Genomic DNA, 15228 nt, shown 5'->3' with positions numbered 1-15228 from the left:
TTTTAAATACCCAGATACTGAAAGCAATCCAAATATCAATCAGCAGCTTAATCATAAACAAATTGTGGTAAATTCATTCCCTGGAAAATCACCCACTGTTACATTCTGGTACCGCTGGATACGTTCAACAGCAAAGGTAAAGTCACAAGTACATATGATGAGTCAAATAAGACAAATAAATACAAGTACACACATACAATTCCTCTTTTATAAATTCTATAAAATTAATACCAATCTAAAGTTACATAAAGAAAACCAGTAGTTGACTCTGGGTGTGGTGTGAGAAGGAAAGGTGTAGGAACAAGAAATTACAGGAAAACAAGAGGAAATTTTGAGGGCACTTGAGTTTTTTCTGTGTTGAGAAAGGTAATGGTTATGTCACTATTTGTCAAATTGTGCACATTATGGGATGGCTATTATTTGCTAATTTCACCTCATTAAAATATGCCAAATTTAAACACATATAATTTGGTAGAAAATAAGTTAGACAGAGATGAATAAAATATATGAGAAATAAAAAAAGAAAATCACAGAACGTTGGCATAAGGACTTCACTCATCAAACTGAAGAAATTTTAAATTTCTCAACACAGAATTAAAGATTTAATTAAAGATATATGAGAAATCAAAGACTCCTGGATATATACATGAATAAACCCTAAGCCTACCTATATTTTTAGGGAAACACTAGAATACAACAAAATAATGTCATGAATTCATTACATAATGGGCGTTAATCAAACCCCACCAGGCATGTCCAGCTGTGTCCTGGGGTTGATTCAGGGAACAGGTGTGTCCTGTGGTTAGGAGAAGTGGCAACAAGCTCACAGCATCTGTTCTAGTTGACACCATAAAAAGGCCAAGAGATCACAACCAAAATGTAGTGTGGATGTCACATCTGTGAGTGCCGCACACTCCCCCATGTGAATACGAAAAGGTTGATTACCTCTTGAGGTGTCTGCTGAGAGTAGAGCTGGTCTCTCAGGAATGTCCAAAATGGCTCGATAGAGCAAGAAAGGAGACTGGCTCAGGTTGCTATACCAGTTTGGTGGTGGAGGCAGAGTGAGGGTTCTCACTCACAGAAATGGGTTTGTGGGGTTTGAACCTCCAAATGGCATCAAATGAGGGAGTTCTTGTGATTCCTAACTAGATCCACCTCGTGTCGGAAAGAAAGGAGATGATGGAGGAATGAGCCTTAAGTTATCAGCAGTCAGACATCAAAACAAGTCTGATGACTTATTCTATGTAGCAACTATAAATAAATGAATAAAAATAGATCATAATGAATTATTCATAATAAATGAATAAAAATATGAATAAAAATAGATCAGTGTCCAATATGGGTGGACAAAAACCAGTCTACACAAAACAAGAAGACTGCTTATAAGAATAAGCAAATCATAATGAAAAGGAGGAAAATGAGGTGAAAGGCACGGGGCAGGGGATTACACAAGGGTCCTGTTCCAATGTCTTGTGTGGAGACTTTTCATTACCTAAAATCATCCGCTTGTTCTGAATGTCTTAGGTGAGCTGTCTGCTCCAAAACATCAGAAGCGCCAGAGGATTCATGAGGATATTCAGTTTAATATCTTCTATTTAAGGTGCCTTACAATAGTGTAAAATTCTTAATTATTATTATTATAATAAGAGATAGGGTCTCACTGTGTCACACAGGTTGGAGTGCAGTGGCACAACCATAGCTCACTGTAACCTTGAACCTCTGGCTCACACAATCCTTCTTTATAAGCCTCCTGAGTAGTGAGGACATGAGACCAAGCTGATTTTTTTTTAATTCTTTCATAGAAGTGGGGTCTCTCTATGTTATCCAGGCTGGTCTTGACTACTAGTCTTATGTGATTCCCCTGGTTTTGCTTCTCAAAGTGGTAGAATTATAGACATGAGCCACGATATTCGGTCTGAACTGATTCTTTAGTTGCAAAATATCAACCCAAGAATTGACTCCCTTAATTTTTTTCTGCAGTGTTTTGGTTAATATTGCCTGATAAAATTTATTCTAATTTGTTTCAACAGCAGAATTCTTCCTGACGTTTTTTCCAATATATGTATTTTCATGGTTGAAGATCACAAAATACTGTTAAAACATGACATAAAAAGGCAACCTTAAACTTTTGGTGATTGGAGTTAGTATAATACAAAAATTACGTCCAATATTGTGTAACACACACATGCAAAAAGACGAAGGTGAGCAATGAGGGTAAACTTTCTAAATGTATGAATCTTCCAGCTCCCAAGTCATAGGATAGTAACTGATGTGGCCTGAGGGAGGTACCAGAGTGACACAGTGCTAGTGGCATAACTCTTGGCCAAGAGACTTTCAATATTTTATTAAAGTTTTTATATTTTTTTAATTTAATGATGCCATTTTTTTCAACATATTCAGAATATTGTGAGTGGGATTGATTCTGGATGATATGAACAATGGGAATGCCTTCTATGTTTAGATAATATTAAGGACCAGGTTGAGATTGAAAGTTTGTAGAAATGATGCACCATAACATTATTCTAGTTTCCATACTAGGTTTTTTCTCTTTGCTTGCATTTCATTTCAAATTTATATGTCAGATATCTAGAATGTAATAATTTATTTAAAAATTTCTTTTCTTGTAGTCCATTTTGATGGGGCTTCCAGAAGATTTGAAAACCTCTTCTGCCTGCAGGACATTTTAAAATTCTGCACTACAGTAAAACATCTGTATTTAATCATGGTCTTCGGTTTATTGACAAGCTCTAGTAAGTGCAATAACTTCTGCCTTCTCGGCTGATTTTACATCAGATAGAGGAATTTATCTTAAATGAAAGTTTGTACTAGCAATATAAATTATGAGTTAATAACCACCACCTTTATTATTTAGGTGTTATTCATCAAGAAATAATGTTAAATCAAGGCTCTCAACGGGAATATTATCTAAGGGATGCACAAAATGTTTTGCTAATCTAGATAAAATAGATGTGAACACACTCTTAGTATCCAGTCATGTCTCCTGTCTGTCACATTATTAACCACACGGTAACTTTGACTTCACTTCGGACTCGTTCTAATTTTCAAATTCGTTACATATTAAGCTTAATGTCTCTAGACTATTCTAGCAGAGTGAAGAAAGACAAGCTAGACTGACAAACAACCTAGGATGACAAACTTCTTGTCACTCTCTATAAGAACTTGCTTCTCCCTGAACTTCAGACTTGTCGCGTGTTTTGAAACATTAATTATCAAAAGTATTAAAGAAAATTTGCAAAGCTACATCTTCTATGTTTATGTTATTGTTGATGCAATTGTAAAAAATAAGGAAAATGTATTCCTTTTCTATGTGCGTTTCCAAACTTAATAGCAGATTTTTAGTAAGACCCAGAATAATAAAAAATTCAAATATTGTTCAGCTGCTTAACAGAAAAACAAATTATGGTAAATTTGTTTGCTAGAATGCTATCCAGTATTTAGAATAAATAAATGTCTGCTATACCCAACTATAAGGTAAAATATCGAATTACATATGTTAAGTAAAATAAGCCAAACAAATAAGAATATATACTGCATTGATTTGTATAAATTTTAATAAACTAAATGACTCAGCCGCAATGTATAGCTCAGGAGTTGCCAGAGAAATGGTAGAAGAATGAAAGGGAAAAGGAGGAAGAATGTAGAAGAACAAAAGGAAATGTTGAGAATTCTCTTGTCCACCTTGATAACAATGATGGTTACATTATATTTATCAATTGTACAATTTAAATATGTGAAAGTTTATTATCTGTAAACTAAAACTCTCAAAATTTATTACAAGCAAACAAATGGAAACTTAGACAAAGAAGGAGTGATAGAAAGATAGAAAAAATGTATATTAAATTTCAGAAATACCTAAGAACTTATCTGCCTGAACCCTAGTTCTCACCATATTTTTAGGTGAATGCTAGAATGCAGCAAAATCACACGTGTTCTCACTACAGAAAGTGGGTTCCACAACCACACTAGGCACGCCCAGCTCTGTCCTGGAGTTGGCTCAGGGAGTAATTGGGGCCAGTGATGAGGAGCACAGGCTCAGGTACTGGGGCTTACTCATCCAGACGTGAGCTCTTAGACACATACTTAGCCCTTTCTCCATGCGTGGTTGACTTCCACATCTGTACATGGAGAAACAATTGACTCCGACAAAACATAATTTGCACAAATATGTAAAAATAAAATAGGATGATGAATTCAAAAAGTTTATCACAGCATAATTTTATAATAAGACAGCATATTTTCTGAGTACCATCGTTGTCACCAAATTCTTGCAGGGCACAGTCATTTTATCTGGGTACTGCCTTCTCGTCAGGCTTCCCACCCCAGAGCTTGCTATATAGTAGGAGACATGCAAATAGGGCCATCTCTCTGCTGAAGAAAACCAGCCCAGCCCTGACTCTGCAGCTCTGGGAGAGGGGCCCCAGCCCTGGGATGCCCAGGTGTTTCCACTTGGTGATCAGCACTGAACACCGACTACCAACCATATGAAGTCTGGGCTGAGCCGGTTTTTCCTTGTTGCTATTTTAAAAGATAATTAATGGTGAACTAGAGATACTTAGTGTGAGGGGACATGAGTGAGAGAAACAGTGGATAGTGTGGCAGTTTCTGATCACGATGTCTCTGGAGGTGTCCAGTGTGAGGTGCAGCTGGTGGAGTCTGGGGGAGGCTTGGTACAGCCTGGGGGGTCCCTGAGACTCTCCTGTGCAGCCTCTGGATTCACCTTCTGTTAACTACTGCATGCAGTGGATCTGCCGGGCTCCAGGAAAGGGGCTGGAGTGGGTAGGTTTCACTAAAAACAAAACTAATCGTGGAACAACAGAATACGCCGCGTCTGTGAAAGGCAGATTCACCATCTCAAGCGATGATTCCAAAAGCATCGCCTATCTGCAAATGAACAGCCTGAAAACCGAGGACACGGCCGTGTATTACTATACCAGAGACACAGTGAGGGGAGGTCAGTGTGAGCCCAGACACAAACCTCCCTGCAGGGGCGCGCGGGGCCACCGGGGGCGGTCAAAACCCACTGAGGACAGGACAGGTCCCAGGAGCAGATGCTGGGGTAGTTTTCCTTTCTCATCAGCTGGAGAAGTCAGGTTTGTATTTGCAGGACTCTGCAGCATTCTAGGCTGTGACATTTTATCACTTGTATTTATTATGACTTTATTATCGTTAGTATTTAAATTTTAGTAATTATTAAAATTATATATAAGTACATTTTAAATATGTACTTTGAAGATATAAATATTCCTAATTATTTGCACTGATTCTTCCAGAGTTTTATTAACATTTGTTGACATCAGCAACTACATAGCTATAGGGACATAAATTTATAAACATAGAAATATGTATCGGCAAGACATGGTGGTCTGTGCCTGTAACCCCAGCTTGGGAAGCTGAGGCAGAAGTACTGCTTGAACCCAGAAGGCGGAGGTTGCAATGAGCCGTGATCGCGCCACTGCACTCCAGCCGGGCAACTGAGACTCCATCTCAAAAAACTAAATAAATAAAAAGAAAGAAAGAAAAAAAGATGTACAAATACACAGACCTATGCATATATGTGTAGGCATTCATATTAAACATTAAGATAAAATAATTCTAAAAACATGTCCTGAAGAATCAAAATTAATGATGAACTAAATATAAATTATTAGAGTAATTCATAATTGATTTTGGTTATTTTTAATTGTTTACATGTTGTGATTTTACACAAAATATTAGTCATTTATCCTGATAAAACAGGTCAAAATGTTATATCAAGAGTTTATTTACTTTGTATTACTAATAATATAAAATGTTCCACATATTTTTAGCCATGTTTTACTTATCTGTGAAATGTGTTTATTAATTTTTCATTTTAATATGTCACCTTTATCTTTCTAATTTCCTGGATTTAATTCCACTACAGCTGAATGCATTTTAATAATTATTGTAATCACATTTACATTTTTTATTTGAATTTTCATATATATTTTATTAGGATTTTAATATCAATATAAATATTTTCCTACCATTGTCTATTTTCTATTTTTATGATATAAAATTAACATAAAAATGCTTAGATTTTCAATGTACAGCTTGAGGGCTTCTGACAAATGTGCGCACAAATAAGAATTATTTGCTTACTTTTTAGTGTATACTGAGGAGTGGGATTGCTGGGTAAAATGATATCTCTGTTTTAAGTTCTTTAAGAAATCTCCAGTCTGCTTTCCAAAGGGGCAAGATTAACTTATATTCTTCTCATCAGGGTATAAGTGTTCTCTTTTCTCCAGAGTCCCACCAGCATTCATTGTTTTTTGACTTTTTCGTGATAGCCATTCTGAGTGGTGTGTTGCTGCACACCTACAATCATCTCATATTTGATAAGGCTGATGAAAACAAGCAATAAGGAAGGGACTCCCTGTTCAATAAATGGTGCTGGGACAACTGGCTAGCCATGTGATGAAGATTGAAGCTGGACGTCTACTTTCAACATACATAAAATTAACTCAAAATTGATGAAAGACTTAAATGTAAGACCTCAAACCATAAAAATCCTTGAAGACAACCTAGGAAATACTCTTCTCGACCCCAACTTTGACGAATAATTTTTGGCTGAGTATCCAAAAGCAAATTCAACCAAAACACAAATAGATGAGTGGGACCTAATTAACTAAGGAGTTTCTGCACAGCAAACCCGCCAGGAGATAGATGCTCAGGACACCAGAGAGAACTCAGTTAAACCAGGGGGCGCTCAGAACAGCAGAGTGTGCTCAGGACACCAGGGGGCGCTCAGAACCACCAGCAGGAGCTCAGAACAGCAGAGTGTGCTCAGGACACCAGGGGGCGCTCAGAACCACCAGCAGGAGCTCAGAACAGCAGAGTGTGCTCAGGACACCAGGGGGCGCTCAGAACCACCAGCGGGCGCTCAGAACAGCAGAGTGTGCTCAGGACACCAGGGGGCGCTCAGAACCACCAGTGGGCGCTCAGAACAGCAGAGTGTGCTCAGGACACCAGGGGGCGCTCAGAACCACCAGCGGGCGCTCAGAACAGCAGAGTGTGCTCAGGACACCAGGGGGCGCTCAGAACCACCAGCGGGCGCTCAGAACCACCAGGGGGCGCTCAGGACGGCAGGGGTCGCTCAGACACCACGGTTCCCTTAGGAGGCAGCTCCACATTAGGTCCCTGGGCAGGGTGGGGTTTCCTTTTTGAACTTGCTATTTTTTGACCTTGTAAAGCAAAGGTCTTCCCCAGGATCTCTTAGTATTTCTTCCTTGTAACTCATGTCTTGTCTTGTTTTGTTTTTGTTTTTGTTTTTTGTTTTTGGTCATCTACAAAAACTTAAACTTAGAACAGTTGATTCAGAAAGGCAGGAAAGCAGGCATTCCTCTAAGTCTCCCCTGAGACAAATACATATATGATTTCTTCCTCCCCACTATAATTTATGTAAAAATGAAGATTCACTGAGTCAGACTAAATTGTGTATTCAGTGGAAGGATAATAAATGACACAAAAGAATGCAACCTATTGTCTCTTATCTTCTTCTAACCTGCAAGCCCCCATTTTCATTTGTCCTGGCTTACAGGAAAAAAAAATGTACATTTCACATGTATTGACTGATGTCTCATGTCTCTGTAAAATGTATAAAAGCAAGCTGTACTTCAATCACCTTGTGCACATGTCTCAGGACTTCCTGAGGCTGGTTATGGTTGGGTTCTTAACTTTGGCAAAACAAATGTATTAGTCTGTTCTCCTGCTGCTGATAAAAACATAATCAAGACTGGGTAACGTATAAAGGAAAGAGTTTTAATTGACTCACATTTCCACGTGGCTGGGGACACTTCGCAATCATGTCAGAAAAGGAAGGGACATCTTACATGGTGGAAGACTAGAGAGAGCTTGTGCAGATGAATTCCCCTTTAGAAAACCATCAGATCTAATGAAACTTATTCACTATCATGAGTTCATCATGGGAAAGACCTGCCCCTATGATTCAATTACTTCTCACTGGGTTCTTCCAATGACACATGGGAAATGTGGGACTACAATTCAAAATGAGTTTTGGATGGGGACACAGACAAACCATATTAATAAACTTCCTAAATTGACTGAGACCTGTCTCAGATATTTGTTGTTTATCCTACTCATGTACAGCCTTCAGAGTTCCAAAGCCTATATCAGTTTTCCAGGATTGTTTCCCCTTTTTGTTGGTTATTTCCTCCTTTATTTTCTATGTTTAGTTCCCTTTTTCTCCCACTATTTTTTCATCATTGGGATGTGAGACTTCACAACATTTGAAAGGTAGGTAACAATGAGCTATCTTAACAACATGGGACCTGTTTATCTAAGAGTAATCCATTCTATCAATGAAAGATAAAACAAAACAGGAGACCAGAAACTCATTTGGTTGTAAAATGCTTCCTCTGAATGATTTTGAAAAGGAACAGGTGGGGAAAATATAAAAGGAAAATAAAAACTTGTGCTGTCAATTCATTATGTCATGAGGGGGGAAAATCCTAAAGGATGATCCATGCAAGAAACTGATTTTCCTTTCATTCCTAAGAGAATAGCTACAAATAAAAAGTTAAATATCTTCACAGATAGCTACTCTTTGTTCATTTTACTTTATATAAAGTGCTAACTTAGTTCAGGAGAACTACATAATTTTTCTGTTTCCCTATGTGCTTCTCTCTCATTACAACATGTAAATTTTCATACTGTCCCTCTTTCCCCTCTATCCAGCTTTCCCCCCTTTTTTGTATTGAAAGCCCTGAAAATCATCTTTGGGGAACGGCACTGACCACAAATTTTTCTGTGATTACTTGTATTTTCATTCCAGGCATGCCCTAACTTTGGCAAAATTAATTTTAATTTGATTGAGATCTGTCTCGGAAACCTTTGGTTTACACTAGGAAAGATCCCAAATTACGAGTCAATTACTATAAAGCTCAGCCTTCCCACTGTGTATGTGTGTGTGCATGTGTGTGTGTGTGTGTGTACACGTGTGTTTTAATTTTTGTGGGCTTTGAGCCATGTAGTTCTCTCTGTGGACATACTATTTGGCGTGATCTTTGAATAGAGAATTCTGAAAGAAATAAGAGGCTCCTATGAGTTCTCTGAAAGTTTCTGGACTCACCATGGATCTTGACTGTGTCATTGCATCTGACAGTCCCAGGGAACAGACTCTCTGGTGGTTTCAAAGAATCTGTGCTTGGGCTCCCCCTGCAGTTTACTGGGTACAGTAATGTTAAATCACTGTTTCGAGAGACAATTTCGAAAGCATTAGATGCTGCTGAGAGAGGATTGTGAACCAGGGGACAGCCCCTTCATTCTGGGGGAGCGACATTGGGAGAATATGCTCTGTGAGCCCAAACAGCATCCTCCCCTGCCGGGTGAGGGCAGAGCTGCAGGACAGGCCCAGAAACCACTCAACACAGATGTCAGCCCTGGAGCAGCTGCAGAGGAGTCTGAGGAGAAAATTTTACCAGCATCTGAATTACACTTATTTCAAAACAAAAATGCAATTAAAAAGTTAAAATAAGTAATTAATGTCCAGGCACAGTGGCTTACACCTATAATCCCAGAAATTTGGGAGGCTGAGGTGGGAAGATTTCCAGGAGTTTGAGATCAGTCTGTGAAACATAGTGAGGCTTCATCTTTACTTTTGAAAATAAAATAAAATAAAACATAAATAATTTAGCAAAAACTACCGATGTGTCTTCCATATCCCATCGTACTTAGAGCATTGATGTAACCCAATGAGTCAATGAGAACCAAATTTGAAAGGAGAAAATTTTAGAGTTTTCAGATATCTTAAGAGTTGGAAGATGTAGAACAAAACTAATTTTATCAATTCAATGTGTGCAAACATGGAGAGACACACTCATGCCAGTAGTTCAACTTGCAAAGGGCAAAAACCAAAAAAGTTTGAAGTTGCTAGTGATCCATTTGTAGGTGAGATCATTTTGAGGATCATGTCCTGTGAGAGGCTGTTTCTCTATTAGAGGAGTTCTGTGCTCATGAAGTGCTGGACATGCTAGGGGACAAATATCAGTAAACAAACATCAGAACTTGAATGTCAGCTTCCCCCTGCTGCATTCTCCGTGTGTCATCTCTCTGTTATTTCTCATGCTAGATCAGGTCTTTAGCTATGAAATATTCCACCTAATTTACATGTCAATAGCTTGAAGTCTACTGAGTTTAATTCATATTTTTTCTATATGTTACAGTTACAGTTTGTCCACAAGGACAAGGTTTGTCCACAAGTTTGTCCACAAGGTTACAGTTTGTCCACAAGGACTCAATCATAGAAGTGCAGAGTCCTTTTCGGGCCACATTTAATTCACTTTATCAGTGCCCTTCAGTATGTGGTTCCTGAGAATTTCACATGACAACACATTTACCACACTGGAATTTAAGCAATCCAACACATGTTTGTAGCTTTATCTTGTAATAGGCTGTATTTCATATGGCAGCCTCTGCTTCAGTTTAGCTAACACTATGGCTTTGTTTCTCTCTACAAGAACTTGTTTCTCCCAAGATTTCCATGTTTGTGAAAGGAAAAGAAATCTCTGGGACCCCCAAATCACTAAGCCAAAGGGAAAAGTCAAGCTGAAAACTGCTTGGGGCAAACCCACCTCCATTCTTTCCCTAAAATGATAGCTACTAACTGTCAGGCCTCTGAGCCCAAGATAAGCCATCATATCCCCTGTGACCTGCACATACACATCCAGATGGCCGGTTCCTGCCTTAATGGATGACATTCCACCACAAAAGAAGTGAAAATGGCCTATTCCTGCCTTAACTGATGATACTATCTTGTGAAATTCCTTCTCCTGGCTCATCCTGGCTCAAAAGCTCCCCTACTGAGCACCTTGTGACCCCCTCTCCTGCCCGCCAGAGAACAACCCCCCTTTTTCCTTTACCTACCCAAATCCTATAAAACGGCCCCACCCCTATCTCCCTTCGCTGACTCTCTTTTCAGACTCAGCCCGCCTGCCCCCAGGTGAAATAAACAGCTTTATTGCTCACACAAAGCCTGTTTGGTGGTCTCTTCACATGGACACGAGTGAAACTAAGGTTTTAAAAAACTACATACCTCCTTCAAAATTTGACCACAAGGAAAAACCTTGTGGACCAACAACAGACAGAGTCATTTCTCTGCTCACATAAGTCAAATGCCTATCTGATTGCCACCATTTCTCTATTGTTTTGCTAAGCCAGACTAAGGCCTACGTGACTATTCCTGTAAATTGTGCATTCAGTTAAAGGCTAATCAGAAACTCAAGAGAATGCAAGCATTTGTCTCAAACCTACCTGTGATCTGGACGCTCTCTCCCCACTTCAGAAAGTCCTGCCTTTCTGAACCAAACCAATGTACATCTTACATATATTGATTACTGTCCCATGTCTCCCTAAATTGCATAAAATCAAGCTGTGTCCCACCACCTTGGGCATATATCGTCAGGACTCCCTGAGGCGGTGTCACTGCCATGTCCTTAATCTTGGAATACGAACTTCCTAAATCTATTGAGATTAGTCTCAGGTACTCTTTGGATTACAGGTTTGTTTTTTATTTCATAACTTCAATTATCTGAAATACTAAACAAAATTTGCCAAATTGTACATTCTCTTGTTACTGTTGTTGCAAAAAATATATTTATGTAACTTATATATAATTTATCATCTATGTGTGTTACCAAGCTGAGTAGCAGATTTATTAGTAAGACTTAGAGAGAGTAATGAAAAATTCAAATGCCAGTTAGTAACTTAATAGAAAAACAAATTATGCTACATTTGTTTGCTGAAATGCTACCCATTATTTGTAAGAAATAAACACATGCAACATAAAAGATTTAATTCTCAGTATTTCTATTGAGAAAAATAATCCAAATACATAAGAGCATATACTATATTTTTTCATTCTTATAAATTCTAGAATATAAAAGCTAGTCAAAAGACATGTGAAAACATCAGTAGATTTATAAAGAAATGGTAGAAGAAGGGAAGGAGAAAAACCAAAAAAATATAAAAGAGCAAGAGGAATGCTGAGGGGAGTTGACTTGTCACCTTCTTAAAAATAGAGATTTTATTTTTCAAAGTTTACTATTGTACAGAATAAATATGTGAATTTTCTTATCTGTCAATTAAACCTCATAAAATTTATTACAAAAAAACTGAAATTTTAGACAAAAAGAGGGTGATAGGAAGGAACAAATAAATATGTTAAATGTCAAATATACCTAAAAATTTATTTGTCTGACCCCTAGTTTTCTCCGTATTTTTAGGTAAATGCAGCAAAATCACACAGGTTGTCGTGGCAGGAAGTGGATTCTGCAAACCACACTAGGCCCGTTTATCTCTGTCCTAGAGTTGGTTAAAAGAGCAACTGAGGCCAGCTGTGAGGAGCATAGGCCCGGGTACTAGGACTCACTCATGCCAGATATAAGCCCTTAGACACATACATAGCCCCTCCATGTGTGGGTTCACTTTTACATCTGTACATGAAGAAACCACTGATTCCTAAATAACATAATTTATACACATAGGTAAAAATAATTAAAAATGTGATAGTTATTAAGTGTTTATCACACAACAATTTCACAATAAAACAGCATTTTCCCAAATGTAATCATTGTCATCGAAATCCCCAAGGACACTCTCATCTGCCCTGGGCCCTGCCCTCTCCTCAGGCATCTCACCCCAGAGCTTGCTATATAGTAGGAGACATGCAAATAGGTCCCTCCCTCTCCTGATGAAAACCAGCCCAGCCCTGACTCCGCAGCTCTGGGAGAGGAGCCCCCGCCCTGGGATTCCCAGGTGTTTTCATTTGGTGATCAGCACTGAACACAGAAGAGTCATGATGGAGTTTGGGCTGAGCTGGGTTTTCCTTGTTGCTATTTTTAAAGGTGATTCATGAGGAAATAGAGATATTGAGTGTGAGTGGACATGAGTGAGAGAAACAGTGGATTTGTGTGGCAGTTTCTGACCTTGGTGTCTCTGTGTTTGCAGGTGTCCAGTGTGAGGTGCAGCTGGTGGAGTCTGGGGAAGGCTTGGTCCAGCCTGGGGGGTCCCTGAGACTCTCCTGTGCAGCCTCTGGATTCACCTTCAGTAGCTATGCTATGCACTGGGTCCGCCAGGCTCCAGGGAAGGGACTGGAATATGTTTCAGCTATTAGTAGTAATGGGGGTAGCACATATTATGCAGACTCTGTGAAGGGCAGATTCACCATCTCCAGAGACAATTCCAAGAACACGCTGTATCTTCAAATGGGCAGCCTGAGAGCTGAGGACATGGCTGTGTATTACTGTGCGAGAGACACAGTGAGGAGAAGTTAATGTGGGACCATGCAGAAACCTCCCTGCGGGAACGCTGGGGAAAGTCATCTGCAGGGGGCGCTCAGGAGCCACTGATCAGAGTCAGCCCCAGCGGCAGGTGCAGATGAAGGCTGATTTCCTGTCACGATGTGGGACTTCATCTTCTTAAAGTTTCTCTACTGAACCTAAGTTCGGAATTCTGTGATTACTAGGGTCATTTCTACATATTTTTAAAATGATTGTTTTAATATGAAAACCTATTCTCCTATGCAGAAAATGCAGATTGATCCTCACAGAGGAGATGAAAAGTTCTCAACCATGGTCACCACTGTCAGAGTCCTGAGGAAGCTCAGGGCTTCCTGGTGAGTCTTCTCCAGTCAGACTGAGGACAGGAACTCCAGAAAGAATCCTGACTAGAACTGAGGTATTGCTCCTCACAAGAGAACTCAAGCTGCGGGGGGTCTGTTCCTGCAGACCCCTGACCCGGTGGCGGATGAATAAAACGTACACTGACACACAGATATTCTGTTTTGCCAGTTCAGCTGAGGGTCCGAGGCAACTTACAGACTCCAAGAAGAATCCTGTAAAGAACGGCAGCAGTGGCCCTGAGCAGCTCGCACTCCAGGCGTGTATTGAGTATAGAATTAACAACAGAAGCTCTGACAACACACTTGTGGATAATTAACATGGTTAAGAGAGTAGTTCTACGAATGATTAAAGCTCAGGGACTGCGGTCTAAAGTAAATACCATTAGGGGGCAATACCCTGGTTAGTTAATGGAGGTAGGGTAACCAGACTTAACTGGGGAGGCCTCTATTGTCCCTAGTATTTACCCTATGCCTAACGCTCTAAGGTAAGAACTGGCCGCCTTCAGCCTGTTCAATTATTACAAGCTATGTAACCTTTCGGCCTTCTAAAAAGGTATATGACTATTCCCTATAACTTTCCTTAATATTCCCCTTTAATATTTCCGCCACCATCCTGAGTGAATCCCAGCAAGAACAGTCTTTGGGGATTCTGATTACAGAAAAAAGAGAGGCTGGGCCAGGGTCAGTGTCATGTAGAACCTCACAGGTTTCTCGTAGGACCCTTCTCCTGACACTGAAGAATGCAAATCAGAATCAATACTGATCTGGAGCTTCTTTTCCTAATTCATTTACTGTCTTTTTTAGATGTTGTTCTCATTTTTCCATTTGCTTTTCCTGCTTTCCGAAAAAGGAAGATGTTTTTGCTGTGGTCAAAATTCCAGACCTCAAGCCCTTTTCTTGGCGCTCAGGTGGGTCTCAGGCTGTGGCTGCTGCAGTCACGCAGGAGAGTCTGGTGGGACTTTCTTCACTCTTCGTCACTCAGGACCCTCCACTGTGTTGCATGGAGACTCATCTGGAAATGCAAGTTGCCAGTGGGAACTGAAGGGACAAGCTTGTCTGGTTAATGTGGGATGTGGATGTGTTTCTAATCCTGTTCTGAAAAACCGTCACACAGTAACGTTCTTCACTAGTGGAGAAGGAAGTGGGTGTGAACGTTGTCAGAATAAAAATGGAGCCACGTGTGTTATAATCTTTACAGGCGAAGCTGGAAGAGGTCATGAATAGAGGGTTCTCATGCACACATCCCTGATAACAAGAATTACCCTAAAAATACTCTGCACAACCACAATCTTGAACAAAGGCTACCACAACAATAAGAGAATTAATACTGAGGGGATATCTGCCCTGCAACTCCCTGTTCAGCCTTAAACTGATTCTACCCTTGTTATTGATTCTTCTACCCCAGGATAATTGTCTCAAAATAGCTCAGGTAATCTTCTCATTTATCCTTCAGACACTTGTCTTTCTTTACCAACCTAAATGTGACCATGGATAATCCCATTGCAATGCTCATTTTCAAATAAATACGATTTGATTTTGGAGAATCTCTT

General features: G+C 39.6%; 1 long non-coding RNA gene, 1 pseudogene, 1 gene segment (V, D, J or C) and 1 further gene; 3 read left to right on the top strand and 1 right to left on the bottom strand.

The window, feature by feature from the left end:
• Positions 1-15228, top strand: part of IGH (immunoglobulin heavy locus) — a 1293408-nt gene that overhangs the window by 208810 nt on the left and 1069370 nt on the right.
• Positions 4503-4997, top strand: IGHV3-65 (immunoglobulin heavy variable 3-65 (pseudogene); annotated as a pseudogene). Its single transcript is given in 2 exon segments — positions 4503-4548; positions 4645-4997. Coding segments are annotated over 2 exon segments (399 nt in total).
• Positions 4640-13140, bottom strand: LOC102724977 (uncharacterized). The gene is made up of 2 exons (XR_001751026.1): positions 13100-13140; positions 4640-4738 (listed from the first exon to the last, which is right to left on the bottom strand). It is a non-coding gene; the product is annotated as an uncharacterized LOC102724977 (long non-coding RNA).
• IGHV3-64 (immunoglobulin heavy variable 3-64) lies at positions 12857-13312 on the top strand. The segment is given in 2 exon segments: positions 12857-12902; positions 13006-13312. Coding segments are annotated over 2 exon segments (353 nt in total), but the record flags the coding sequence as incomplete, so codon positions are not given.

Source organism: Homo sapiens, chromosome 14 (assembly GCF_000001405.40).
Source record: "Homo sapiens chromosome 14, GRCh38.p14 Primary Assembly".
NCBI classification, from domain to species: domain Eukaryota; kingdom Metazoa; phylum Chordata; class Mammalia; order Primates; family Hominidae; genus Homo; species Homo sapiens.
This window is presented reverse-complemented; position numbering and strand designations above follow the sequence as displayed.